The 24,499-nt window shown below is 48.7% G+C and overlaps 1 protein-coding gene across 57 annotated transcripts in view, besides 8 other annotated features; it reads right to left on the reverse strand.

Annotated features, from left to right (window-relative positions):
- The window catches only part of ASCC2 (activating signal cointegrator 1 complex subunit 2), a 49,664-nt gene that overhangs the window by 8,767 nt on the left and 16,398 nt on the right, over positions 1 to 24,499 (reverse strand). For 43 of the 57 annotated variants that reach the window (NM_001369942.1, NM_001369947.1, NM_001369936.1 and 40 more), the window contains 10 exons: positions 18,629 to 18,696; positions 17,280 to 17,390; positions 16,053 to 16,165; positions 10,734 to 10,808; positions 9,420 to 9,527; positions 9,108 to 9,176; positions 8,839 to 8,913; positions 7,261 to 7,453; positions 4,617 to 4,831; positions 3,614 to 3,733 (listed from right to left, as the gene is read on the reverse strand). In NM_001369942.1, coding sequence (NP_001356871.1) covers positions 3,614 to 3,733; positions 4,617 to 4,831; positions 7,261 to 7,453; positions 8,839 to 8,913; positions 9,108 to 9,176; positions 9,420 to 9,527; positions 10,734 to 10,808; positions 16,053 to 16,165; positions 17,280 to 17,390; positions 18,629 to 18,696 — 1,147 coding nt within the window. Of the gene's footprint in view, positions 1 to 3,613; positions 3,734 to 4,616; positions 4,832 to 7,260; positions 7,454 to 8,838; positions 8,914 to 9,107; positions 9,177 to 9,419; positions 9,528 to 10,733; positions 10,809 to 16,052; positions 16,166 to 17,279; positions 17,391 to 17,794; positions 17,917 to 18,628; positions 18,697 to 24,499 lie in introns of all 57 variants that reach the window. The other 14 variants (XM_047441548.1, NM_001369930.1, XM_047441545.1 and 11 more) reach the window with 2 other exon arrangements.
- Positions 1,312 to 1,812: an enhancer, noted in NCBI's record as "H3K27ac hESC enhancer chr22:30194678-30195178 (GRCh37/hg19 assembly coordinates)". NCBI's record gives its function as "activates a minimal SCP1, AML or CMV promoter by ChIP-STARR-seq in primed H9 embryonic stem cells {active_cell/tissue: H9 hESC(primed)}" and the evidence as "EXISTENCE:reporter gene assay evidence [ECO:0000049][PMID:30033119]".
- Positions 1,813 to 2,313: an enhancer, noted in NCBI's record as "H3K27ac hESC enhancer chr22:30195179-30195679 (GRCh37/hg19 assembly coordinates)". NCBI's record gives its function as "activates a minimal SCP1, AML or CMV promoter by ChIP-STARR-seq in primed H9 embryonic stem cells {active_cell/tissue: H9 hESC(primed)}" and the evidence as "EXISTENCE:reporter gene assay evidence [ECO:0000049][PMID:30033119]".
- Positions 3,205 to 4,200: an enhancer, noted in NCBI's record as "H3K27ac-H3K4me1 hESC enhancer chr22:30196571-30197566 (GRCh37/hg19 assembly coordinates)". NCBI's record gives its function as "activates a minimal SCP1, AML or CMV promoter by ChIP-STARR-seq in primed H9 embryonic stem cells {active_cell/tissue: H9 hESC(primed)}" and the evidence as "EXISTENCE:reporter gene assay evidence [ECO:0000049][PMID:30033119]".
- Positions 23,698 to 23,747: an enhancer, noted in NCBI's record as "active region_18820". NCBI's record gives its function as "activates an Ori minimal core promoter by ATAC-STARR-seq in GM12878 lymphoblastoid cells {active_cell/tissue: GM12878}" and the evidence as "EXISTENCE:reporter gene assay evidence [ECO:0000049][PMID:35858748]".
- Positions 23,808 to 23,867: an enhancer, noted in NCBI's record as "active region_18821". NCBI's record gives its function as "activates an Ori minimal core promoter by ATAC-STARR-seq in GM12878 lymphoblastoid cells {active_cell/tissue: GM12878}" and the evidence as "EXISTENCE:reporter gene assay evidence [ECO:0000049][PMID:35858748]".
- Positions 23,808 to 24,137: a biological region, named in NCBI's record as "Sharpr-MPRA regulatory region 3108".
- Positions 23,843 to 24,137: a silencer, noted in NCBI's record as "tiled region #3108; K562 Repressive non-DNase unmatched - State 25:Art". NCBI's record gives its function as "represses a minimal TATA promoter and a strong SV40 promoter by Sharpr-MPRA in K562 cells {active_cell/tissue: K562}" and the evidence as "EXISTENCE:reporter gene assay evidence [ECO:0000049][PMID:27701403]".
- Positions 23,927 to 24,116: a silencer, noted in NCBI's record as "fragment chr22:30217293-30217482 (GRCh37/hg19 assembly coordinates)". NCBI's record gives its function as "represses an EF-1alpha promoter that drives an FKBP-Casp9 reporter gene in an ReSE screen in phorbol 12-myristate 13-acetate-treated (for megakaryocytic differentiation) K562 erythroleukemia cells {active_cell/tissue: K562(+PMA)}" and the evidence as "EXISTENCE:reporter gene assay evidence [ECO:0000049][PMID:32094911]".

Below are 24,499 nucleotides of genomic sequence, written 5' to 3' on the forward strand. Positions count from 1 at the left end.
GAGCCTGTGGAAGCAACAGACTCCTACTTTTCCAGGTGAAGAATCAGGGGATCCAGAGAGGCAGAGCAACCCTCTTAAGGTCACACAGCTACTAAGAGCAAAGCCAGGGCCAGACACAGGTCTCCTGATTCAGGTCTGCTTTGCCACTTCCTGGGCTGTGTGACCACAGGCAAGTCCCTTAACCTCGCTAAGTCTCAGTTCCTTCTCTTGGCACCCACTTCCCAGGGCTGATGTGAGAAAGAAATGACATGTCGAAGCAGATCCAGCACTTTCTGGGCTCAACAAAGTGAATCCTGTTTCTTTTACTACAGGACTTTTCAGAGCCTTAATGTGCTCTGCGACTCCCCAAAAGGCAGACCAAGGGCACAGACACTTAAAATAAAATTTTAATTATTATTATTTTTTGAGACAGGGTTTCACTCTTGTTGCCCAGGATGGCGTGCAATGGTGTGATCCTGGCTCACTGCAACCTCCACCTCCCAGGTTCAAATGATTCTCCTGCCTCAGCCTCCCGAGTAACTGAGATTACAGATGCCTGCCACCATGCCCAGCTAGTTTTTTGTATTTTTAGTAGAGATGGGGTTTCACCATGTTGGCCAGGTTGGTTTTGAACTCCTGACCTCAGGTGATCCACCCACCTTGGCCTCCCAAAGTGCAGGGATTACAGCCACCACGCCCAGCCGGCACAGATATTTTTAGAACACATGTTGTCTTCCAGGGCACCATGGAATGGTCCAAAGGGATTAGGGGACCCTGCCTCTTGCCCACTGACTCCTTCACTGGCTATGATATACCTGTAGCACATGTATTGATGTCTCCACAACAGCCATGCTGCACCTCACCCATTCTCCAAACAGACCCTACATTTTCTTTAGGTCTTTCTACCTTTCCGTTTCACCCTGGAGCTCCAGGCCTGCACCCTGTGAGTTGGTTTTCCTGATGAGATATGAGGGGTATTGGAGACTTCTGGGAAAGGTATCCTAGGCTCTAGGAGAGACACAGGAAGACCTGGTCTGGACTATCTCCTGGCACTGTCATGTCTGGAAGCCATAGTAGAAACAGCTGCAGCCCCTCTGCAGCCTCAAAGGAAGTAGCCTGACCACGAAGTGAGGCCCCAAGAGACTGGAAAGATACATTCTGGATGATAGGTCAACCAAGCCTAGACGGCCCTACCTTACACCGCCTTGTCATGCAAGGGAACAGATTTCCTTACTACTTAAGCACTGAGTACAGCCTATCTGATTCAACAACGAACACATTTTAACTCCACTACCATCTGCAGCGTCCTACCTAATTTCTCATGGGATTAGGACATGTGTCCCTGCCGAAGTTCCTGTGTACCCCACCCCAGCACCTCCCACTCTGTCCTTACTTGTTTAATGGTCTTTCTTATGATCATTTGAGGGCAAGGCCGGGTATCCAGCTCACCCTGTTTCCCTGGTGTCTAGCATAGGATCTGGTGCTACTAAATCTCTTAATAAATATTTGCTGAATGAATAAATAATGAACACATGAATGGAGGCTTTGCCTCTTTGCAATCTGCAGCCCCTGGGCTACCCAGCACAGTGAGTCTCTCTGCGTGCCAGCCCAGAGGGCCCCAGGAACAAGGGCACAGTGTTCCAGAAACCTGGCCACCTCAATGCCAGCCACTCTGCTGACCCTGACAGCTGGGACCAGCCCCTTGGCAAATGCTCGTAGGTGACTTATGACCTAGGTGGGGTGAGATGAGACTTTACAATACCATGGGCCCTGGACAAAACCACAGATCAAGGTGAAAGGCCATATCCAGAGATGGCTAATCTCTGTGGGGAACTTACCAATCAGGCTTCCTGGATTGGAGCAGGGGGCCAGGCTTCTCGCCAGCCTGGAGGACCCCTTGTCTGCCCCTTGCCCACCGCTGGAGCTACAGAGGGCCATGCTGGCCTGGAATAGCGGCCACTGATCCAGGATAACATCTTTGGCCTGGGATCTGGGGGTGTTGCAATGTGTATGACTAAGCAGTTTGCAAGTGCTTCCTGTCCAGCCAGCCAGACGGCTTTGTAGTTGCCCTGCGCCAGTTCCCCAAGCCCTCAGCCAGCCAAGCTTTTAGCAGTGGACAGCCCTAGGGAGGGGTAACAGCACAGGGCCCTAACTGAAGAAGCAGCTGGCATTTCCGCCACTGGGGCTCCTACCACAGGAACAAGGCTGGCTGGTCTCCTCCCTCTCTGAACCTCACGGTCCCCATTCACGTGATGGTGAAAGAGCAGCCTGTACTTGTAAAGAAGTCCCCTGATTTCTAGATTCCATGCAGAACTTTGGGGGACTAGAATACATCTTATTTTGCTGTTCTCTACTTGGATGTTGTACTCTTTACCATGACATCCAACTCTCTGTCCCTCTGATGGGTCATCATTCCAACGCTGGGTGAACTCTCTTATTTTTTTTTCTTGAGACAGGTTCTTACTGTGTCACCCAGGCTGGAGTACAGTGGCACGATCACAGCTCATTGCAGCCTTGACCTCCTGGGCTTAAGTGATCTTACTGCCTCAGCCTCCAGAGTAGCTGGAACTATAGGCGTGTGCCAGCACACCCGGCTAATTTTTGTATTTTTTGTATATATGGGGTTTCGCTATGTTGCCCAGGCTGGTCTCGAACTCCTGGACTCAAGTGATCCACCTGCCTTGGCCTCCCAAAGTGCTGGGACTAGGCATGAGCCGCTGCACCCAGCCCTGATCTTTTCAAAACATAAAATATGCTGGCTTTGTCGGTTCATGGGACCCTTTGCTGTGCTCACTATGGCCTCGGGACCACTGTCCCTGTTGCTCTGCTTGGGAAGCTTCTCCTTCCCTCCTTTGCAGAAGTGACCCCTCCTCACCCTTTAGCTCTCGGTCCCATGTCATGTTCTCAGAGGAGCCTTCTTGACTGGGGTGAAGCCCTACCAAAGGCTCAGAATTCTGTGCACCTCCAGCTTGTAGTATTTGTTATACCTGCAATTTGATGTTGCTTGTTTGATGAGTTGATTAATGCAAACTCCACGTGGGCAGGGGCCGTGTCTGTTTCACTCCCCACTATATCCCCAGAACCTAATTAATCCAGAGCCTAGAATGCTGTAAGTATTAGACAAATATTTGTTGAATAAATGGATAAATCATGAACGGAATTTTCAATGCCAAAAAAGTAGGAAGGACATAAACTAAAAATAAATAGAAAGGCCTTAAAGTGGAATATGTTCACCTTCTGAAAAGCTCATTCAAAGTCCTTAATTTTCTCACAGCCTGGGGAAAATCAGGTCAAAGAGTGGTTTCTGGGAAGCACTGTCCACCAGTGATTTGATGGTTAACACATTAAAAGATGTAAGAAGAAGGGAAGAGGGGGATAGTTTTGGCCCTTCTGGCCTTTTGCTATCAACAGGGGGGATTCACTAACAGCCTCCCTGCACAGAGTCAGAACCTGAAGCCTGATCAGTAGAGAACCTGCTCCTAACCACTGGGGGTGCACAGGTCTAGGGTTGTGAAGGGATCCCTGTGCTGATACTCCATGGCCAATTCTGCGAAGATGGAGCCCTTGGTTTCCCTGTGTCCTCTCTGCACTTCCAGAGTTGGGGTATCGGAACCCCATGGCCCACTGCACTCACCTCTTGCCCTTGTGCACCCGGCTCAGGTCTACTGAGTCCCTGCTGAACACATCAAACTCGTCATTCTGGAAGACGTTGTGGCGAGACGTCAGCAGGGGTGTAGGGTCTGGTTTCATTTCTCTGGGTGGGGGACACAGAGATCAATTTAAGGGGGCCCTGCCAGCTGATGCAATCTGCACCCCACTTCCCCCTGCTGTATTAAATCCATCGGATTTTTCAGTTCCCTTCAACAGGCACTCCTAGGACACAATCTCAAAACCTTGAAGAGGGAGATAAGCTGCTGCCTGATCTGGCCTCTGCCTGGGTATGCAGCCACACCTCAAACAAAGCTCCCCCTCATTCTCTGCATGCCATTCACACAGGGTTTCCTTCTGTTTCTTAAAAGCGCTATCCCACATTTAATGCTCGTAATAGTCGCATAAGATCAGTAGTCACAGATCACTCAACCTCATTGTGCCTCAGAGGCTGAGGAACTTGTCCAAAGGCACAAAGCTAATTTCTCAAGTTAACAAGTGATTGGTAAACATCACTTGCTCATGGAAGAAACACCCTTTCGGGCACTGGTTCCTGCTGTCCCATGGGGCCTTCAGGGCAGCAGTGGGCCAAATAAATGGTAGGTGTGATGAAAGTGAGACGCTGTGGCCATCCTCTCTCACAAATCTACTGGGAAGGTCGTAATGACAGGGGCAGGTCAGGAATGTAGGGGATCAGAAGGGCTCAACAACCCTGTGTTACATCCCTGAAGACACATCCATGGCGCTCTAATCAGCCTTCCCACAAAGTGTGGCAGGGATGTGTACACTCTCTGCCCTGCCTGGGGCAAGTGAAAAACTCCTGCGGGGCCTAAGGTTTTTATGTTTCCCCAAAGAGGGCTTTAGTTTAAATGGCTGGGAAGAGAGAACAAGCTGAGTCCTGGGCCATGAATGAGGGAAGGAAGAGAGGAAGGGGCCCCACCCCGAGGCAGCCTGGGCAGCGGGAGCCTCCTCCCACCTGTCTCTCCCACCTGTCTAGGTTGCGGTCCAGCTGGCTGAGGGTGGGGGCCAGCCGCTCCTCCAGGATATTGTTGATCACCTGCTCTGGGTCGTAGTGGTAGTACTCCAGGCAGGCCAGGATGAAGCCCTCACCAAGGTCTGGCAGCAGGTCCTTCACTTGGGAGATGAGAGAGTCCAGTTCCACCCCACACATGGCAGGGCCCACAGCCGCGGCTGCTCCCATGCACTGTAGTGAGAGCCAGAGCCAAGAAGGGGAAGGCTAAGTGGGCCGGTGATAGGGCCACAGGCCCCAGACAGCACTGGACTAGGCATCAGGGATCTGGTTCAAGTCCTGGGATTACCCCTCCTGCCTGTGGGAACTTTGTCAAGTGACTCAAGTCTCTCTGAGCCTCCATTTCCTTCTCTGTGAAAAAGGGGGCTCGTGATTGTTATGATTATTGCATGCCTGTATCAAAATATCTCATGTAACCTATAAATATATACACCTACTACATATCCAGGAAAATAAACAAAAAAAAAAAATAAAAAAAATTTAAGGCCGGGTACAGTGGCTCATACCTATAATCCCAGCACTTTGGGAGGCTGAGGCAAGAGAATTACTTGAGCTCAGGAGTTAGACCAGCCTGAGCAACACAGCAAGACCCCATCTGTTCAAAAAATTTAAAAAAGTAGCCAGGTGGCCGGGTGTGGTGGCTCATGCCTGTAATCCTAGCACTTTGGGAGGCCGAGACGGGTGGACTGCCTGAGCTCAGGAGTTTGAGACCAGCCTGGGCAACACAGTGAAACCCTGTCTCTACTAAAAAAATTAGCCAGGCGTGGTGGCATGCGCCTGTGGTCCCAGCTACTTAGGAGGCTGAGGTGGGAGGATTACTTGATCCCAGAAGGTCGAGGCTGCAGTGAGCTTGATCAAGCCACTGCACTCCAGCCTGGGTGACAGAGCAAGACCCTGTCTCAAAAAATAAAAAATAAAATAAAATAAATTAGGCCAGGCATGGTGCTCATGCCTATAATCCCAGCACTTTGGGAGGCTGAGGCAGGTGGATCATCTGAGGTCAGGAGTTTGAGACCAGCCTGACCAACATGGTGAAACCCCATCTCTGCTAAAAAAAATACAAAAAATTAGCTGGGTGTGGTGGTGGGTGTCTGCAATCCCAGTTACTCAGGAGGCTGACACAGGAGAATCGCTTGATCCCAGGAGGCAGAGGTTGCAGTAAGCAGAGATCGCACTATTGCACTCCAGCCTGGGCAATAAGAGTAAAACTCCATCTCCAAAAAAAAAACAAAAAACAAACAAACAAAAACAAATAAATAATTATATTAAATTAAATTAAATTAAAATTTTGAAGGGACTGTATGACTTACCAGCTGGGCTACTGGCTGTGTGACTTTGGGCAGGATGCTTCCCCTCTCTGAACCTCAGTTTCCTCCTTATAAAATGGGCCTATACCACCCACCTCATGGGGTTGTTTCAAATAGTTCAAAGATGGCACAAAACCCAGTGAGCACAGTACTTGGCACAGACCAGGCCCTCCATAAACAGCCCTGGTTTCTACCAATTCTTCCTACTAATCCAAGGTCCTTTTCCAACAAGTTTACTGACGGTGGAGGCGAACATCAACCACCAGAGCTGGACTGTGTGGAGATGCTCCCCTTTAATTACAATCTCTTTTTTAAGTAAGGGGCATGCATTTTATATATTGCTCAATGTGACTTAATTGTGTTAGCCTTTTAATTTAAGGAAATTTACAGATCACAACAATAAAACCTCCATGACTCTGCTAAGAAGCGAAATGGGGAAGAAGGTGGGAAAAGGTGAAGGAGGCCATTGTTCTCCAAGGCCCTGCAGGAATCACAGGGTCTGGGCTGGGAGGAAGGACTGTGGCATTTGTTAATGGAGCACTGAAGGCCAGTCAGGCTCAGGGTATTCCATGTGATAGCTCTGGGAATCCCAACACCTCATGGAGGTGGGCACTACATCTGTCCCCACCTTATAGATGAGGAACCAAGGTTCAACGTGAGTGACGTGCCTAAGGCCATACAGCTGCCAAGTGGCAGAACCAGGTCACACCCCTGAGCTGCCTCGCCTGAGTCTGTGTGGTCTTCATCTCTCTTATCATGCTGCCTCCCAACATGCAGGGGAGAGTCCTGGCCTTGGTGGCCAATCAAGACAGCCACAGATTCGGCCAGTCCTGGAAAAGCCTGGAGAGAAGGCACCAGATCCGAGGTTTCTACACTTGTTCAGTGGAATCCTGGAGCCCCACGGAGGGGCTTCCAAGAAGGCCAAACCATGGGACTTGGCACTGTTCCCAGTTGCAACCAAAGGAGCTCCACTTTTATCTATTTAGAGGAGAGCTCCGGGAAGGGCTCATGGAAACGTTCATGGAAAGTTTCGTCTCTTCATTTTATAGAGGGGAAGCTAAGGCTTCGATAGTTGAAGCAACTTGCTCTCTCCTCACACACAGTCCAGCATGCCCCCAGCTTGGGACCCTCTAAAGGCAGCACAGAGCTGACCAGTTGCTTGAGGCTGTCTATTCCCCAAAAAAACTTTTTCCCTGAGTATAAAAGCAAAGAAGGGAGGTTTCCTGCTGCCCCAGCCTCTCAGATAGGGCCAAGGAGGGACAAGCGAAGAGGGAAAAGCGCCACTCAGACACATACCTCCTCTTCCTCCGAGTTCTCCGGATGTGATGATGCTTGACTGACTGCCTCTGCTGTCACCGTGACCCCGTTAGGCTCCCCATTAGGCTCCTCAATCACCGATGGGTCTTTAGCATCTGTGGCTTTCCGTCTGTCCACCCCTTCCCATGCACTCTCGACTGCCTGGAGGATGTAGGCAGTCCGCGTCTCGTCCCTGTGAGGACTTGTTAAGGGGTCTGTCTTAAGCTCCTAGCTCTGAAGCAGCATAATTTCTCAGTCCCTCCCCAGCATCTGACCACATGGTTCCTGCCAGGGGCTTTCTGGGCTATATCTAAGTGGTATAGCCCACGGGCACCTGGGCTGCATGGAAAAATGGGCCAGACTACAGCCACTCTGGCCTCACAACCTAGTGCCTTTCACTCAGCAGAAAGCAGCTCTGAGTAAAGACAGGGCCAGGGCTGCCATCAGAGTGTCCTGGGGCACAGGTATGGACGAGCCAGCAGCTCCTCTTTTGTACTGACTGCCAGGAGGAGGGCGTGGTAGGGCCACTGCCACTGGGCTTCCTGTCCAACCAGCTGAGGGCATTCTGCAAAGGCTGTGGGCCATCAGGTTTCCCTGAAGCAGGACTGAGCAATCTACTGCAACCACCAAAAATGACCCATAAGCTGGCTGCTCCTCCCTGTCCTTCCTCCTTGTTAACAACCCTGGGCACTGTCAAGCCAGAAATCTGAGAGTCCCCTTAGACTCCCTCACTGCTTCTTGTCCAAACCCTCATCATCCATGCTTGGATGCCAGCAACAGCCTCCTCACTGGCCCGAGCCTCACGGTGGTCCTGGGCCAGTCCATTCTCTTCCCTGGGCCAGACAGAGCTTTTCCAAAGTATAGAACTGCCCATGTCACTTCCTGCTTCACAACCTTCCGCGCTCCCCAGCGCTTGCAGGACAGAGCCCAAACTTCTTAGTGATGGTCACCCCAGGGCTGTGCACGTTGCTGGCCTTCACCTCACCTGCAACACCCCAATTCCTCCTCTTGGGAGACCCCTCCTTAAGGACTGCCCCCTGTACTCTATACACGTCTGTGGCTCTAAGGAGCCTGTTTTCTCTGTCCTCTGTCCACTGCGAACATTCTTGTCCTTGTCCTTGCTCCTGGCTTGGTGCTCTCCCATTCTTTCTGCTGTTCTTCTGCTTGGACATCATTTCCATCTGAGACCCCCACCCAGAGCTCTGCTGGGTGAGGCGCCACCTCTGGTTTCCTGCCCTCTGAAATCTTCCCACGTGACACTCTATCTAACTGCCTGTTTACTTGTCCACCTCCCCTCCTGCTGTGAGGAGGGGCTGAGTCCATCTTGGTCACATAGGCCCAGATACTCAGGAAACACAGACGGAAAATAGCACTGCATCTCCCCTGCCCCAAGCATCAGAGCAGCCATCTCCTCTAGAAAAGGCAAGGCTGGGACCTTGGCAGGCCACCTCGGACAGCTGGCTGACCCATGCGTTCTGGGGCTAAACCTCTTTCCACTCCTCTGGGTTCCAGCAGCCTGTCTCACCTCTGACCTAGTCAAGCTGGGCCCTGTCGTAGTGGGCTATGGTAGAAGGATACAAGACTGATGAGGCCTGCTGCAGCAAGCTGATGTCTTCGGCCACGGGGAAGAGTGCATCATAGTCCCGGAGGAACCTGCAGGCAGATGAGAGCAGATGGGATGGACAGAGCTGGGGCCACAGGAATGCTGTGCTGCTGCAGGCCACTCCCTGTGTTTGCAGCCCGACCTTATTAGAGCTGTGGTGGGCCTATAGCGGGGGTCTATCATGTAAGGCCTCTTGGGGACCTGTGGGAGGGTCATGGGCCCAGGCCAGCTCAGCCACACTCACCTCTTCTCCTGCAGCAAGGAGCTGAAGATCTGAAGGAACTCTTCGATGAAGCCCTGAATGTTGTCACAGCTAGAACAAGACACCAGGGAAGATGAGCTCATGCAATGCAAGATGAGCTGCAGCTCCTTTACACACCCGCTGCCCCTCTTTAAGGCTGGGGCCCAGTGGAGGAATGAGGCATTTTTCTTGGTTTCTCATCTCTGTTCAGCCAACCCCAGTGCAGTGGAGGAAGCCAAGATGAAATAATGGAAACGCTCCTGAAGGGCTTGGGGAGGAGACTCTTCCACCAGGAGGCAATTCGTGAGGGCTTACCTGCTTTCTAGGATGGGAAGGAGGCAGATCTGGTTCAGGATGATGTGGAAAATCTCCATTAGCTTCTTCCTGGAATGGGAGAGCCTCTGCCACAGGTCACCAAGAAGCCTAGGCCAGAGAGAAAAAAGACACAGGTTTAGGAGACAAAAAGGCCCTGAGGGGCCAGGTGCAGTGGTTTACACCTGAAACCCTAGCATCTTGGGAATCTGAGGTGGGAGGATCACTTGAGCCCCAGGAGTTTGAGACCAGCCTGAGCAACTAAGTGAAATCCTGTCTCTACAAAAAATACAAAAAATTAGTCAAGTGTGGTGATGCAGGCCTGTAGTTCCAGCTCCTGGGGAGGCTAAGGCAGGGGGATCGCATTCGCCTGGGAGGTCAAGGCTGCAGTGAGCCATGATGGTGCCATTCCAGCCTGGGTGACAGAGCAAGACCCTGTCTCAAAAAAAAAAAAAAAAAAAAAAAAAGGGAAAAGAAAAAGAAAAAGAAAAAAAGGCACAAAGGGAGCTTCTCCCCAGCAGTTGCAGGTGCCTCCCTGGAGCAGAGAAGGCCTCACAATTCACTGCTGAGAGCAGCTGGCAAAAGCCATAGGCCCAGAGAAGATAGCTGCTTCCAGGGCTGCTTCTCAGTTCAAACGGTGGGTCAGGAACCAGCAGGCTGAGTACCAAGAGCATGGAGTAACAGCTGAGGGAAGGGCTTCAATGCAGGGCCCAGCCATCATGGTATTTTGGGGGATTGGGTTAATAGACATAATTGCCTTAGTACAAGCAGGACTTTGGGTCAAGTCTCCTTCACGGTGTTTAGTAACACTTAACTCTAGTTGTTGCAGTCTTTCTTATTAGGTCTTCATACAAGTCTACAGAGAACATATATTTTTTTTAATATGCTAAGAGTTTAAAAAAAAATGCAGTTCAAGACCAGCCTGGCCAACACGTCAAAACCCCATCTCTACAAAAAATACAAAAATTAGCCAGGTGTGGTGGCACACGCCTATAATCCCAGCTACTCGGGAGACTGAAGTGGGAGGATTGATTGATGTCAGGAGGTCAAGGCTGCAGTGAGCTGTGACTGCACCACTACACTCCAGCCTGGGTGACAGAGCAAGACCCTGTCTCAAACAACAACAACAACAACAAAAAAAAAAACAAATGCAGAGGTCAGGAAGTGGCTAGATAGGGATGCAGAAGCTCAAAGCTGCACAGTCCCTGGTCCCACCCACTTGTCTTAGAGATAGGGATGCTAATGCCCAGGGAAGGCAGGGCCCTGCTCGGGCCTCTCTGTCCCACAACAACATTCTTAATTTTGTCCCCGCCTCACTTGCTATCTTCAAGCCTCCTCTTCTTAATTGCAGACTCCATTTCGGGAATTGCTGCTTCGTAGAAGGAAGCTAGTCTGTGCAGGCACACACAGGGAAAATGTTGGATTAGTTCATAAATACCACACTTCATAAGAACATCAAAGCAAACCCCAGGGAGTGGGAAGGCCCATTTCTTTTTCCACACAATTTTCTCCAGGGACCCCTTGGTTCTTCCCTGAGCTCACCCCAGACTGACCCACTAGGGCTGGTCCCAGGAACAGCTCATAAGAAGTGACCTATAGCCATGTCCCTCATTCAGATGGGCAACTGAGGCCCAGATAGGCTCATACTAACAGAGGAATCAGAAGGCCACTCGGAACCCACTGAAGTTTGAGAAGCAGATCCAAGATTACTTGCTTGTAATTTTCTTGCTCAAAAACTGTCAGTTAGCCAGGCACAGTGGCTCATGCCTGTAATCCCAGCACTTTGTGGGGCTGAGGCAGGAAGATTGCTTGAGCCAGGAGCTCAAGATCAGCCTGGGAAACAGGCTGGTGAAACTCCATCTCTACAAAAAATACAAAAATTAGCCAGGCATGGTGGTCCACACCTGTAGCCCCAGCTACTTGGGAGGCTGAGGCAGTAGGCCAGGAGGTCAAGGCTATAGTGAGCCATGATCACACCACTACATTCCAGCCTGAGTGACAGTGAGACCCTATCTCAAAAAAAAAAAAAAAAAAAATTGTTCTGGCTGGGTGCGGTGGCTCACGCCTGTAATCCTAGCACTCTGGGAGACCGAGATGGGTGGATTACTTAGAGGTCAGGAGTTTGAGACCAGCCTGGCCAACATGGTGAAGCCCCGTCTCTACTAAAAATACAAAAATTAGCCAGAAGTGGTGGTGCACGCCTGTAATCTCAGCTACTCAGGAGGCTGAGGCAGGAGAATTGCTTGAACCTGGGAGGTGGAGGTTGCAGTGAGCCAAGATCGCCCCCCACTGAACTCCAGCCTGGGCAACAGAGTGAGACTCTGTCTCAAAAAAAAAAAAAAAAAAAATTTAACATGAAAATCTCAACACAATATTTGTATTTGGTCAAAATAGGCTAAATGTTCTCATGATTTTTTCCCAATCCCATTGGAAATGAGAAAAAAATATATTAAAATAAAAAATAATAATTAAAAAATTTAAGAAAAAAGTAAATGTATCATATTTTCTACATTGGCTTATGAGTTAAGCCAGTTAGCACTGTTTCTATAACTTTTTAGTTAACTAATTAATTTTTTTTTTGAGACGAAGTCTAGTTATATTGCCCAGGCTAGTTTTGACCTCCTGGGCTCAAGCGATCTTCCTGCCTCAGCCTCCCAAGACACTGAGATTACAGGTACCTGGCTTAAAACTTTTATAAAATTAAGGCTGTGCATGGTGGCTTATGCCTGTAATCCCAGCACTGTGGGAGGCTGAGGTGGGCAGATCACTTGAGGTCAGGAGTTTGAGACCAGCCTGGCCAACATGGGAAACTCTGTCTCCACTAAAAATACGAAAATTAGCTAGGCATGGGGGCGGGCACCTGTAATCCCAGCTACTCGGGAGGCTGAGGAGGGAGAATCGCTTGAATCTGGGAGGTGGAGGTTGCAGTGAGCTGAAATTGTGCCACTGTACCCTAGCCTGGGTGACAGAGTAAGACTGTCTCAAAAAAAAATTTAAAAATTGTAAAATTAAAAATAATTTATACGAAATTATTTTCAAATAAATATAATTATACTAATTAAAAAAAAACAAAAGAAAAACAGCTGCTAGCAGCTCCCTACCTCTTATGACAGCAAACCATAATTATTCTCTCTGGTACATCCATATCTGTCACGGTATACAGCCAATCTTGCTTCTCACCTAGGTGATTTCATACCACCCTTTCCCAACTCAAATTCAAACTCTCCATCCCAGCCGCACAACCCCTCAACATTCTTCCAGAGATCAGCACTCCCACAGCCCTCTGGCTTCCTCTCAGGCTAATGCTGGCCACTGCTCTTCTCTTCTTTCTCCTCATTCTCCTCCTCCTCCATGCAGCATTCCAGGCCCATCTCCTCCCATGCACTTCCTGATCATGCTCACTCATGGGAATTCTTCCTTTCCAGAACTAGATGCACTGCATGTGGAATATATTGCCCTGTTGCCCTGGCAAGTGAAACTGCAGCTGCCTCTTTTCTGTGGTATAATTCTTCCCCCAAACATCTTAAGCTTCCCAAAGCCGGAACTGCAGCTTAAGTGTCTAGGTTGGTGCTGAATTTGGAGCAAGTCCTCTGTAAACACATGCCTGTCAGTTGGCTGGTTTCTGGCAATGTCTATCCTACTACAATGCTATATGTAACAAAGGGTAACTAGGCCAAAAGAGGCAGGCCCTACTAGGCCCACAGGATAGTCCAGAAAAATGACAGAGAGGGCAGTTTGGCCTAAACAGGTTCAGCTGTTGCCAGGATATGTTGCTGGTGGGAGAGTAAATTGGAACAACCCCTATGGAGGGCGATTTGGCAAGATCTATGGAAATTAAAAATGTACATACCATCTGTCCTTGCTAGTCTACTTCTAGGAATTATTCCTCAGATATACTCACAGAGGTACCAAATAATGTGTGTGCAAAGTTATTCTTTGTAATTTTTTTTTTTTTTTGAGACAGTCTCGCTCTGTTGCCCAGGCTGGAGGGCAGTGGTGCAATCCCTGCTCACTGCAACCTCCGCCTCCCGGTTTCAAGCAATTCTCCCACCTCAGCCTCCCGAATAGCTGGAATTACAGGTGCGTGCCACCACATCCAGCTAATTTTTGTATTTTTAGTAGAGGTGGGGTTTCACCATGTTGGCCAGGCTGGTCTCGAACTCCTGACCCCAAGTGGTCTGCCTGCCTTGGCCTCCCAAAGTGCTGGAATTACAGCCATGAGCCACTGCGCCTGGCCTCTGTAGTATTTTTTTGTATAGCAAACAACTGAAAAAAACCTAAAGGACCATCTATGGGATCTGGTATTCCATACAGTGGAATTCTACCCGGCCATACCAAAGACATTAGAGAAAGGGTGCTTAATGCACTGATGTGGCACCACTGTTAAGTAAAAAAGTAAAATGCAAACAGTAAATACTCATAATATGCCAGCCTTAAATTTTTTAAAAGGAGGGAGACATATAATGTGCACAGTTGCTCATATGTGCATATATTCTTGCATATCTCTGGAAAATTCCACCAAAAAAACCTAATGATGGCTGTATGTGAATAATAGAACTGGGAAAGTAGAAAGGGGGACTTTCCAGTGTGTATTTTATACTTTTTGAGTTTTGAACCATGTGAATGTGTTATTTATTCATAAAAGTATATCTACTCAGCTATACTTGAATAGATGGGAAAGGAAGGAGGAAAAAGGTTATTTTGAGAGGGATTATCAACAAAGCTGATTGGGCAACTGTAACCACTTTCAGAGAGGCCTGGAGAACTGAGGTGGCTGTATTTGCTCAGCAGGGCGTTCCTGGCCTCCAGCACAGTTGGAGGCTGGGTCAGCCCCAGGGTGTTCGTGGGTCAAAGGCAGTGTTGCCTTTAGTCAAAAGTGTTTCCCTTTCTTCCTCCTCACCCTGAGATGGGTATAGCTTCTCCCCTGCCTCTGCTGTCCCTTGCAGTAAAGTCAGCTCTTCCAAAACTTATCCCTTCCCCATCTCCAAAGAGCCTTTCAAAAGCAATCTGTGCCACATTTGGGGAAACACTTTAACAAAATGGGAAAATGCCTATGATAAGCGAAAATATGCAAGGTACGAAATTCTAAGAATAGTATGATTTCTTATGGTGATTTTAATTTCCTACTTTTCTGGATTTTCCAAATGTTCTACAAGCACATGCTGCTTTTATCATGAGAAAAGATACCTTTTTAAAAAAGTGGACAGCTACATACCCCTCTCTTCTGGGGAAAATGCCAGGCAGCAGGTTATCCTAACATTCTCTGGGAGGCTCAATAACCCTAATGTCTGATTTTTATAAGCTGAGGCGACCAGGGAGGGGTCACAGCACCAGCTGCCATCTCTGGCACATGTAAGGACTAAATAAATGTTTTGTTAAATGGGTGAGTAAATGACAGAATGGACAGGCAGCTGAATGGATGGAGTTGGGCAGCTCCCAGAAGCTGCTACAAATGGTGGGGAGAAACGTCTTGCTAGAGTGACAATCAGAGGCCACTAGGAAGAGGCCTGTGCCCACAACTGCCAGGCAATACGCAGGTTGCCAACCCTTTCACCCTGGCCTGGAATGCCCACACCCACCCCTTTCTTACTGCACAAGCAACAGATACTCTTGGTGCTAAGAGGGCAAAGTGGGTCTGCCTCCCTGGCTCATATTCTCTTTCATATCTGTCTCCCTCCCACCAGGATCTTTCTAACAGCTCCTTTGGATAAAAGCCTCCAGGGGCTCCCCACTGCCTACAGCATAAAGGCCCTGCCAGCACATCCCAGGCTCCCCACGATCTGACTTCTACTGACTTACCCAAAGTGGGCTCTTGTTACTGGCTTGTTTTCCTGCTGTTCTGTGTGTCCCCACCCTCTGCCTCATGTCACACTTCACTCCCCAGCTCTCTCTCTGGGCCTCTGCATGCTTCACTTCACCTGCCTAGGATGCCCTTCCTGCTATGGGAACTTTTCTTTGTCTGGAAGATACCTGTTCCTTCAAGACATCCTTCAAGGGTGATCTCACAGCTCCATGTTGGAGCACTCCTGTTGTTTCCTAGTGTGTGTTCCCCCCAGGCTACTCTATTGAACTGAAACTATTCTTGGTTGTGCGTTTTTTTTTTTTTTAGATGGAGTCTTGCTCTGTCACCCAGGGTGGAGTGCAGTGGCGCGATCTCAGCTCACTGCAACCTCCGCCACCTGGGTTCAAGTGATTCTCCTGTTTCAGCCTCCTCAGTAGCTGGGAATACAGGTGCATGCTGCCATGCCCAGTAATTTTTGTATTTTTAGTAGAGATGGGGTGTCACCATATTGGTCAGGCTGGTCTTGAACTCCTGACCTCAGGTGATCCACCCGCCTCGGCCTCCCAAAGTGCTAGGATGACAGGCATGAGCCAACGCGCCCAGCCCATTGTATGTGTGTGTGTATTTTTTTTCCCTGCCCTATCCTGGTCTTGGCCAAAAACAGGAGTGCTTCTAAAATGCAGGCGCCACACAAGCAGGAGGCTTATCTGTCGTTTTCACTGCTGCATCCCCAGGCTGGAAGAGGGACTGGTACATTCTAAGCACCCAGTAAATATTTGTTAAATGAGTAAATATTTGTTAAATTAGTACATAAGCCAGTATCTCTATTTCAACAGCCAGAACTACCGCCTTACCTGTAACAAAAGTCGTGCTTCTGGAAGGTCTGGCAAGCCAAAGGGAAGATATCCAGAAAGGCCCAAAGTGTGGTGCAGGTATCACAAAGGTAGAGAACAATGTCCTTTAATTCCTGTTGCCAAAAGAATACACTGCATTATTCTCCTCTGTCCACACATACAGATCTGCAGAGCACCTGAGACAACATTAAAACAGTCAGGGTCCCAAACAGGCAGGATGTTACACAGGAGGAAAAGAACACTGGAGGTCCCAGGCAAAGTCTGGCTAGTCCATCTTCAGGAGCACGATCTGGGTGAGTCACCTAACCTCTCTAAGCCTCAGGTCATTACTCCAATGGCCTTACACCCAATCACCGCTAGGGTTACTTCCAGTTCTAAGATAATACAGTTCCCTCTTCTAAGCTAAAGGAAAACCAACTCTTGAATCTGAAGACATCATGCAAAGAAGGAACATCCGAGGCAGGACAAGAATATTAAGTCCATAGGTTTTTCACATCTTGAAGAGGGTATACAAAACACTTTCTTCTAAGTTTCTTACACACTTTCCTGGTTCTCATGACAACTCTGAAAAGTAGGCTGGGAAGCTATTGAGGATCTTTATTTTACAGAAAAGGAAACCGAGGTTCCGAGAGGTAAAATGATTTGCTCCCACAGCACCTGCCACGTGCCCTTCTGAAATGAGATCACCATCTCCAGGAGGACAGCTCATAGCTGCCTTGTTCCTGTTCTATCTCCAGGGCTAGGGCAGCACCTGACACATGTTGAGGCTTCCTGAATGTTTGCCTTCTATCTGTCACCCTTGTCAACTCTAAATTCCATGAGCGCAGGGGCCAGTCTGCTTTTGTTTACTGCTTTGCCTCCAGGCATAGCACAGGGTCTGGCACATGCTCAGGACTCCTCAATATAAGTCCACTGAATAAATGGCTCAATGAATAACGCACAAGTGAACATGTCAAACTGAAATAAATGAGGACTCTGAATCCTTATTCCCCAGTTCTTTCCACTACTCTATAAATGAAGCTCCCAGAGAGAAATCCAAGCCAGCTGAAAATGCTCTAAACCTGTGTGATGGGACATAATAGTTGCTCACTGTGCTGGAGGAAGGGGCCCTGGGCAGGGAAGAGGCCACTGGGTCCTCTACTGGGGCAATCTTCCCAGCCTCTGGGTAGCTAGGCCCTGGTTGGAGGGACCCGGCAGGAAAGAGACTGGGCCGAAGGGCAACCTTACCAGGAGAGGCATGTCACTGGGGGTCAATCGGCCCCTCTCCTCAAGCTTCTGGGGTGTGGTATTGGCCCCGTCCCCTTGCAAACCACAGTGCTGGAGGATATTGCTGAAGACCTGTGAAAGACAAGAACGGGCTCTCTCACATCATACTGAACCAGGGCTAGGACCCCTGGCAGCAGCCAGGGTCAGGTGATCTGAAAACTGCCTTGGAGTTTCTAGAATATTTACCCATGTTTCCAGGATATAAGCTGAGACAATTACCTTCTCCAAGAGTGAGGTCAGAGTAAAAACTATGTAAGATGGGGATGATGGGAGCATCCTTCTTAAAGGAGGGCGAAGAGGATTAAAAAGACAACCTGGGGCCAGGTGTGGTGGCTCACTCCTGTATCCCCAAACTTTGGGAGGCCAAGGATAGGGGATCATTTGAGGCCGGAAGTTCAAGACCAGCCTGGGCAACATGGTGAGACCCCCATCTCCACAAAATTTTTTTTAAATTAGCTGGGCAAGATGGTGTGTACCTGTAATCCCAGCTACTTGAGAGGCTGAGGTGGGAGGATCAACTGAGCCCAGGAGTTCAAGGCTGCAGTGAGCTATGATTGTGCCACTGCACTCTAGCCTCGGTGACAGAGCAGGACCCTGTCTTAAAAAAAAAAGAAAAAAGAAAATCCTCCCAGAATCCTGTAGATATTATCTGACCGCATAGGCCAGGCAAGTATAATGAACATTTAAGATATACTTTAGCAATGTATAACAAATCTTTAGAACCCCTGTAGATGGCTATTTATGGAAACTACATTGAAAATAAGACAAATCAACAGTGAGAGGAAAACGGTCCATCGTAGGCACTGAACTGACTGTGCCATTTTAAGAAGGCTAGCATGTAAGGATTCCAAAACTTACTGTGAACAGTAGATATCTCTTGGTGGTGGGATTATGAGGGAATGATAATGTTCCTCTTTCATTTTTTATTTTCCGAATTTTCTACAATGAACATTATTTCATGAAATAATTTTGTAAAACTTTAAAGCTACTTTTTGAGAAACACTGGTCTCTTAGAGGGATATCCTTAGAGGCATATGGCTGTTGGCAAGCAACAAAAAATGCAAGCCAAACTCTGTCTGTATGAGCGCCAGCCAGCCAGCCCTTAGGCTTAAGTCTTGTTCAAAAGGGAAAACGGCAAATTTAAAGAGGTGTAGTCAGGGGTAAGACAAAGAGACTGTCTGGGGAGATGCGAGAGTCAGGGAATAAACATTTCCTCAGCTCCTCCAGGAAAGTCAGGCAACACCATTGAGTTGGGGAGGTGGCCTATCCTCCAAGCTCAACCTCCCCTGCGCAGGGCCAAGAGCTGGTACCTGAAGGATGGTAGGCAGGGTTTCATCCAGGTCACTGTAGTAACTTGGCTGCTGTGTAAAGATGTTTCCTAAAAAGAGAAGAGAAAGGTTGGAATTGAGAAAAGGTGGGGGCTCGGGGCAGTGAAGAGGACACATTACAAATGGTTGCCAGCAGGTCTGTGACCTTTCTCCCTTTTCCTAATCCTATCTGCAGCTAGGACCTAGGACGAGTCCTGGCCCCAGGCCCTGCTGGCACTGAGCTTTGGCCCAGCCTAGAAGCTTCCCCAGGGTGGGGGAGGGACCTTGCTCAGTATGATTTAACCTTTTAAGTACCTCTGCCTAGTGAATTACATAAAAGACCCGCCCTGGTCAAACCAGCTCACACTGATGTCCCCAGGGAGTGATCACACTTGGGTACCCTGCCTCCTATGACAGCTTTGGCTCTGCAAGTTGGAGTTAGTCATCCAGGAAAATTAGCAGATAGGATCTCTTTGCTCAAGAAACATGGATGCAATAATCCAGGACTCTCCAATAATATGAGGAGATTCCAGGGAGATATTTCTCCGGAAATTTCATACCTTTCACTTTTAGATATGCTAACCATACTAATCCATCCTACTCCAAGGTGAGAGGCCTGAGAAGGACTTGGAGATAGATTTACCACACACTTGCAATTGTTCCTATAAGATGAAGCTTGTCTCCAAGTGTTTACTATTCTCCAAGTGCTGCCGCTGTGAGTGCGTAGGTTCGAGCATATGGTAACTGGAACAGAAACCAAGTGTTCCAGCTGCCCAAATGGCGAGAGAGGGAGAGAGGGAGAGAGGGAGAGAGGGAGGGAGGGAGGGAGGGAAGATCACAGCTAGCTTGGGGACGTGACAATGTGAAATGCCAATGCCCTTAAGCAGCCAGGGTTCTTGGCCCCCTGTAATCCCAGCATCTAAGGCTGGCTGATGGTCAGGATGCTCTGAATTCTAGGTGTTCTCTGCCTTTGGGCAGGTCTGTCCTTGGTTTCCTTATCGATGACCATGCAGCCCTTGCTGGACCCTGGAGGATTTGAAAAATGAATGAGTTCAAAAACCAGATGGGGCTGGGTGAGTAAGCAAGTCACTAGGTGGCTGGACTTTCTGTAAGCACTTTCCTGGATGCCACTGCATTTCTTGATTCCAGAAAGCTGAGTTTTACCAGCCCGCACTTGCTCAGCACCTCCCACCTCCAGATGGGTGCTGATCCCATAACCTGTGAAGGTGTGCCCAGACCATCTGCACCCACTTCCTACTCCTGATAGGCAAGGAAAGACAGAGCTATCTCCCCACCAAACTCTGTTCTTCCTAAAAAAAACCCTCAAGATTAAGTCCAAACTCCTGACCATGGCACAAAAGGCCCTGTGAGATCTGGCCTCTGCTGGTATCCCAGGCCACCCTTTCCCCCTTCCCTACACTACACTCCTCCCTCACACCATTCTCAACCTCAGAAAACCATCCCTGTCCCCGCCTTCTGTTTGGAGTGCCTTCCTAGAGCTAACTCCACCATAAGGCAGGTGTCACCTCCTCCACGCAGTGCCTCCTGACCCAGGCATTAGGAGAGGTCTCCTCTTACAACCCCCAGGGCCATACCATGTTCTCCAAAGCATCCCAACCACTTCGCACTGGGGAGGCACCCTCTCATGATCCTTCCAGTGCTGCAGCCTGAGTAAAGCGAGGTTTTACATGCATCAGTATAGATCAAATTTCATACTCTATTCTTGGGGTCTTCTAAGTCCCTTTCCTCACCTTCATCTGATTCTAATGACAGTGACGATGTAACTTTTGATCTCCTAAAGAAATAATAAAAATGTAAGGAATAGCAATGGCATCCTTTGAAATGTCCCTTCTCAGATGAAAGCAGTTCAGAAACCCAGGGTGAATGGAGATACTGCCAAGTAGATCACTGCAGTCCACAATTGGGCCAAGGCCCAAGTCATTCCTGGTTTGCAAAGCAGTGTCAAGAGTCTAACTGAAATGGCTTGCTTTCAAAATTATACTTGTTGATGCACAATACCAGCCTTGAAAGTTAAAAAAAAAAAATTAGGTGGGGGATTGGGATAGGTACTCAGGAGGCCAAGGTGGGAGGATTGCTTGGAAAAAAAAAAAAAAAAGCAAGGTAAGGAACTGGGCTTCTACTCACAGAACACTCAACCAGTCCCCTTTCTCCCACCTTCTTTCACTTGTCAATCCTCTTACAAGTGATCACTTTGACTGAGTTTCCGCGGTATAGAAATCGGCGGCTGCCCCTTCTTGTGCCTTCTGCTCAAAGGTTAAAAAGAGAGCTGCTGTGTATGTGTGTGTGAGAGAGACAGACAGAAAAAGAGAGCTGCTGTGTATGTGTGTGTGAGAGAGACAGACAGAAACTGCAGGTCCCTTCTCTGCATCACTCCCTGCCTACACACACACACACACACACACACACACACACACACACACACACACACACACACACACACACACACACACACACAGTGAAGGGGCTCCTGAGGCCTGGTCCTGACTTCTTTTGTGCTGACTCCCCTCTAGGAGCCAAAGAAGGGGCTCTTCTTAATAAGCCAGTTTAGGGTTCTCAACCTCAAGGTCTGAGAACTCTTAAAAACACCTCAGAATCTATGAGGGAGGACATTTTTCTGGACAGAAGTTTTCATCTGATTCTCAAAGCAGTCAGTGATCTGGACGATTAGGAGCCCAGGCAGTAAGTGAGTAGGCTTTCTCACTCTCCCATCACCACGCAGTCCCCTCTGGATACCTGCAGCCATCTTACACCCAATAGGTCCCATGTTGAACCTCACCTCTACCCAAAGCTTCCTCTCCCACCTCCCAAAGGGCCTTTTTCCTGCAACCAACACCTGTTCCAGCTGACCTCACCAAGCCCTGCTTAAATCTGCTTCCTGGATTTCCTTTTCTTCCCCAGCAGCCCAGCCAGGCTCTCACCTTCAAACCCACACAGATGTGCCCACCTCCTACAAGGCCTCCTGTCTCCACCCTCCCCACCTGCATGTGGCCAGATGAATCTTGTTACCAGATGGCTCCTTGCCTTGCTCCAAGCTCCTGGAGGCTCCGCGGTCTCATCACAGTAAGAGCTCATGCTTACCAATGGCTGAGACATGCCAGGCACGGTCCTGAGTACTCTACTCATGCTATCTCAACAACCCAATTTGTTTTTTTTTGAGGCAGAGTTTCGCTCTTGTTGCCCAGGCTGGAGTGCAATGGCACAATCTCGGCTCGCTGCAACCTCCGCCTCCCAGGTTCAAGCGATTCTCCTGCCTCAGCCTCCCAACTAGTTGGGATTACAGGTGCCTGCCACCATGCCCGGCAAATTTTTTGTATTTTTAGTAGAGATGGGGTTTCGCCATATTGGCCAGGCTGGTCTCAAACTCCTGACCTCAGGTGATCCACCCACCTCAGCCTCCCAAAATGCTGGAATTACAGGCGTGAGCCACCACACCCAGCCTCAACAACCCAATGTAATCCCTGCACCCATCCTATGGGTAGGTATATTATTAGTCTTCCCATTCTGCAGATGAAAAAAACTGGGGCTTAGAGTAGTTAATTGACTTGGTTAAGGGGACACAGCCAGGAATAGAGCTGTGGTGTGAATTAGGCAGTTCGATTTCAAAGCCTGTCTTCTTAGCCACCAAGCAATACCACTCCCCAAGTGCTAAAGCCTGGCATGAAGCCCTTCCCAATCTGGCTCCAAGGCTCCAAATCCCCCTCCCCCGTCTCCTGCTGCTGCCCTCCTGGAATGCTCCACTCTCTAAGCAAACTGGCCTAAGAATTGTTTCTCTAACTGTACCTTCTGATGCTCACTTGCTCCATCCTCTCAATATGTGGTAAAATTACTAGGAGTCTTTCTTAGTCAGGGTCTAAGAGACAGGATCTCACTTTGTCACCCAGGCTGGAGTGTAGTGGTGTGATCATAGTTCACTACAGCCTCAACATCCTAGGTTCAAGGCATCCTCCAGAATCAGCCTCCAGAGTAGCTGAGACTACAGGGGCATGCCACCACGCCTAATTTTTAATTTTTTGTAGAGACAGGGTGTGGCTGTGTTTCCCAGGCTGGAAAAAAAAAAGATTAACTGATGATCAGGAAATAATTAGATATGAATGAGAAACCAGAGATTATTTCAGTGAAAATGTTGGATGCAAAATTTCTTTTTTTCTTTTTTTTCTGAGACGGAGTCTCGCACTGTCACCCAGGCTGGAGTGCAGTGGCACCATCTTGGCTCACTGCAACCTCTGCCTCCTGGGTTAACACGATTCTCCTCCCTCAGCCTCCCGGGTAGCTGGGATTACAGGTGCACACCACCACACCTGGCTAATTTTTTGTATTTTTAGTAGAGACGGGGTTTCACTATGTCGGCCAGATTGGTCACGAACTCCTGACCTCGTGATTTGCCTGCCTCGGCCTCCCAAAGTGCTGGGGTTACAGGCGTGAGCCACCTCGCCTGGCTGCAAAATTTCATATACATTATGATCAAGTATGGTTTAAGAAAAATACAGAGAAAAGACTAGAAGGAAAAAACAACCAAATGGTTGTTTCTTGTAGAAATCTGGTAACTGCTTTCCTGCTTCACTATACTTTATATCCTTTCAAAATTTCTTAAATTAACACATATTATCTTTACCATTAAGAAAAAAAAAGGCTGGGCGCAGTGGCTCACCGCCTGTAATCCCAACACTTTGGGAGGCCGAGGCGGGTGGATCACCTGAGGTCGGGAGTTCGAGACCAGCCTGATCAACGTGGAGAAACCCCATCTCTACTAAAAATACCTGTAATCCCAGCTACTTCGGAGGCTGAAGCAGGAGAATCACTTGAACCTGGGAGGCGGAGGTTGCGGTGGGCCGAGATTGCACCATTGCACTCTAGCCTGGGCAACAAGAGCGAAACTCCATCTCAATACACAAAAAAAAAAAAAAAAAAAGGAAAGAATAAAGGAAAGTGACCATTATAAGGGATAACTCAGTTTTGTAACTAGGTATTTCGAAGACTGTGTCCTACAGTCTCCAGGTGAGGAGAGCTGGCAAGGGCGTCCAGGGTGAGCACCCCTCTGTGCCAGGCCCAGCTCCATGAGCTACAATTCAAAGAGGAATTCACTGGGGCGCTCCCTCTGTAACGTCCCACAGTGCTTCTGTTTCTCTTTTTTTCTTATTTTTTTGTGTGTGTGTGCGTATAAAGAGGAACCTCTAAAAAAAACTGCTTGTTTTTGATCAAACCTTCTCCCCTCTGCCTGCTAATGGGATCCAACGGCTAATGTCCGTTCCTTTTGCAACCCAGAAGAGCCCTCTCTGAACTCTGTCCCTACCTGCTCTCAGCAACAATGCAAATCATGACATTTTTGACACAGTGCCATCATCCCTGAAGCAGGGAGTTGCAGAGCAAGAGCTTGAGAGTCAGGTCTACGTTTACACACGTCCCAGCTGGGCCACTTATTAGTCATATCCTCTCAGGCAAGTCCCCTACATTTTAACCTCAGTTTCCTTATCTGTAAGTGGGGATGATGACAGCACTTATCTCACAGGGCTGCTGTGAGGATCCAATTGACATAACATATGTGGAGTGCTTGGCAGAATGCCAGGTCCCCGGAACACTCTCCAATAAAGGTTAGCTTAGTTATCACTGCTGTTCTTACATTCGTCGCCAAAGGAAACTTCCCCATTCCTATGTCTGATGCATGGCCAATTGCATAATACTAATACACTCCCAAGGCAGAATGGTGGCTTACACTGTAATCTCAGCTGTTCAGGAAGCTAAAGCAGGAGGATGACTTGAGGCCAGGAGTTCAAGACCAGCTGGAACAACATAGTGAGACCCCATCTACTAAAAAAAATTTTTTTTTAATTCGCCAGGCATGGTGGTGTGCACCTG

The sequence above is a fragment of the Homo sapiens genome, chromosome 22 (assembly GCF_000001405.40).
Source record: "Homo sapiens chromosome 22, GRCh38.p14 Primary Assembly".
Classification (NCBI taxonomy): Eukaryota; Metazoa; Chordata; class Mammalia; order Primates; family Hominidae; genus Homo; species Homo sapiens.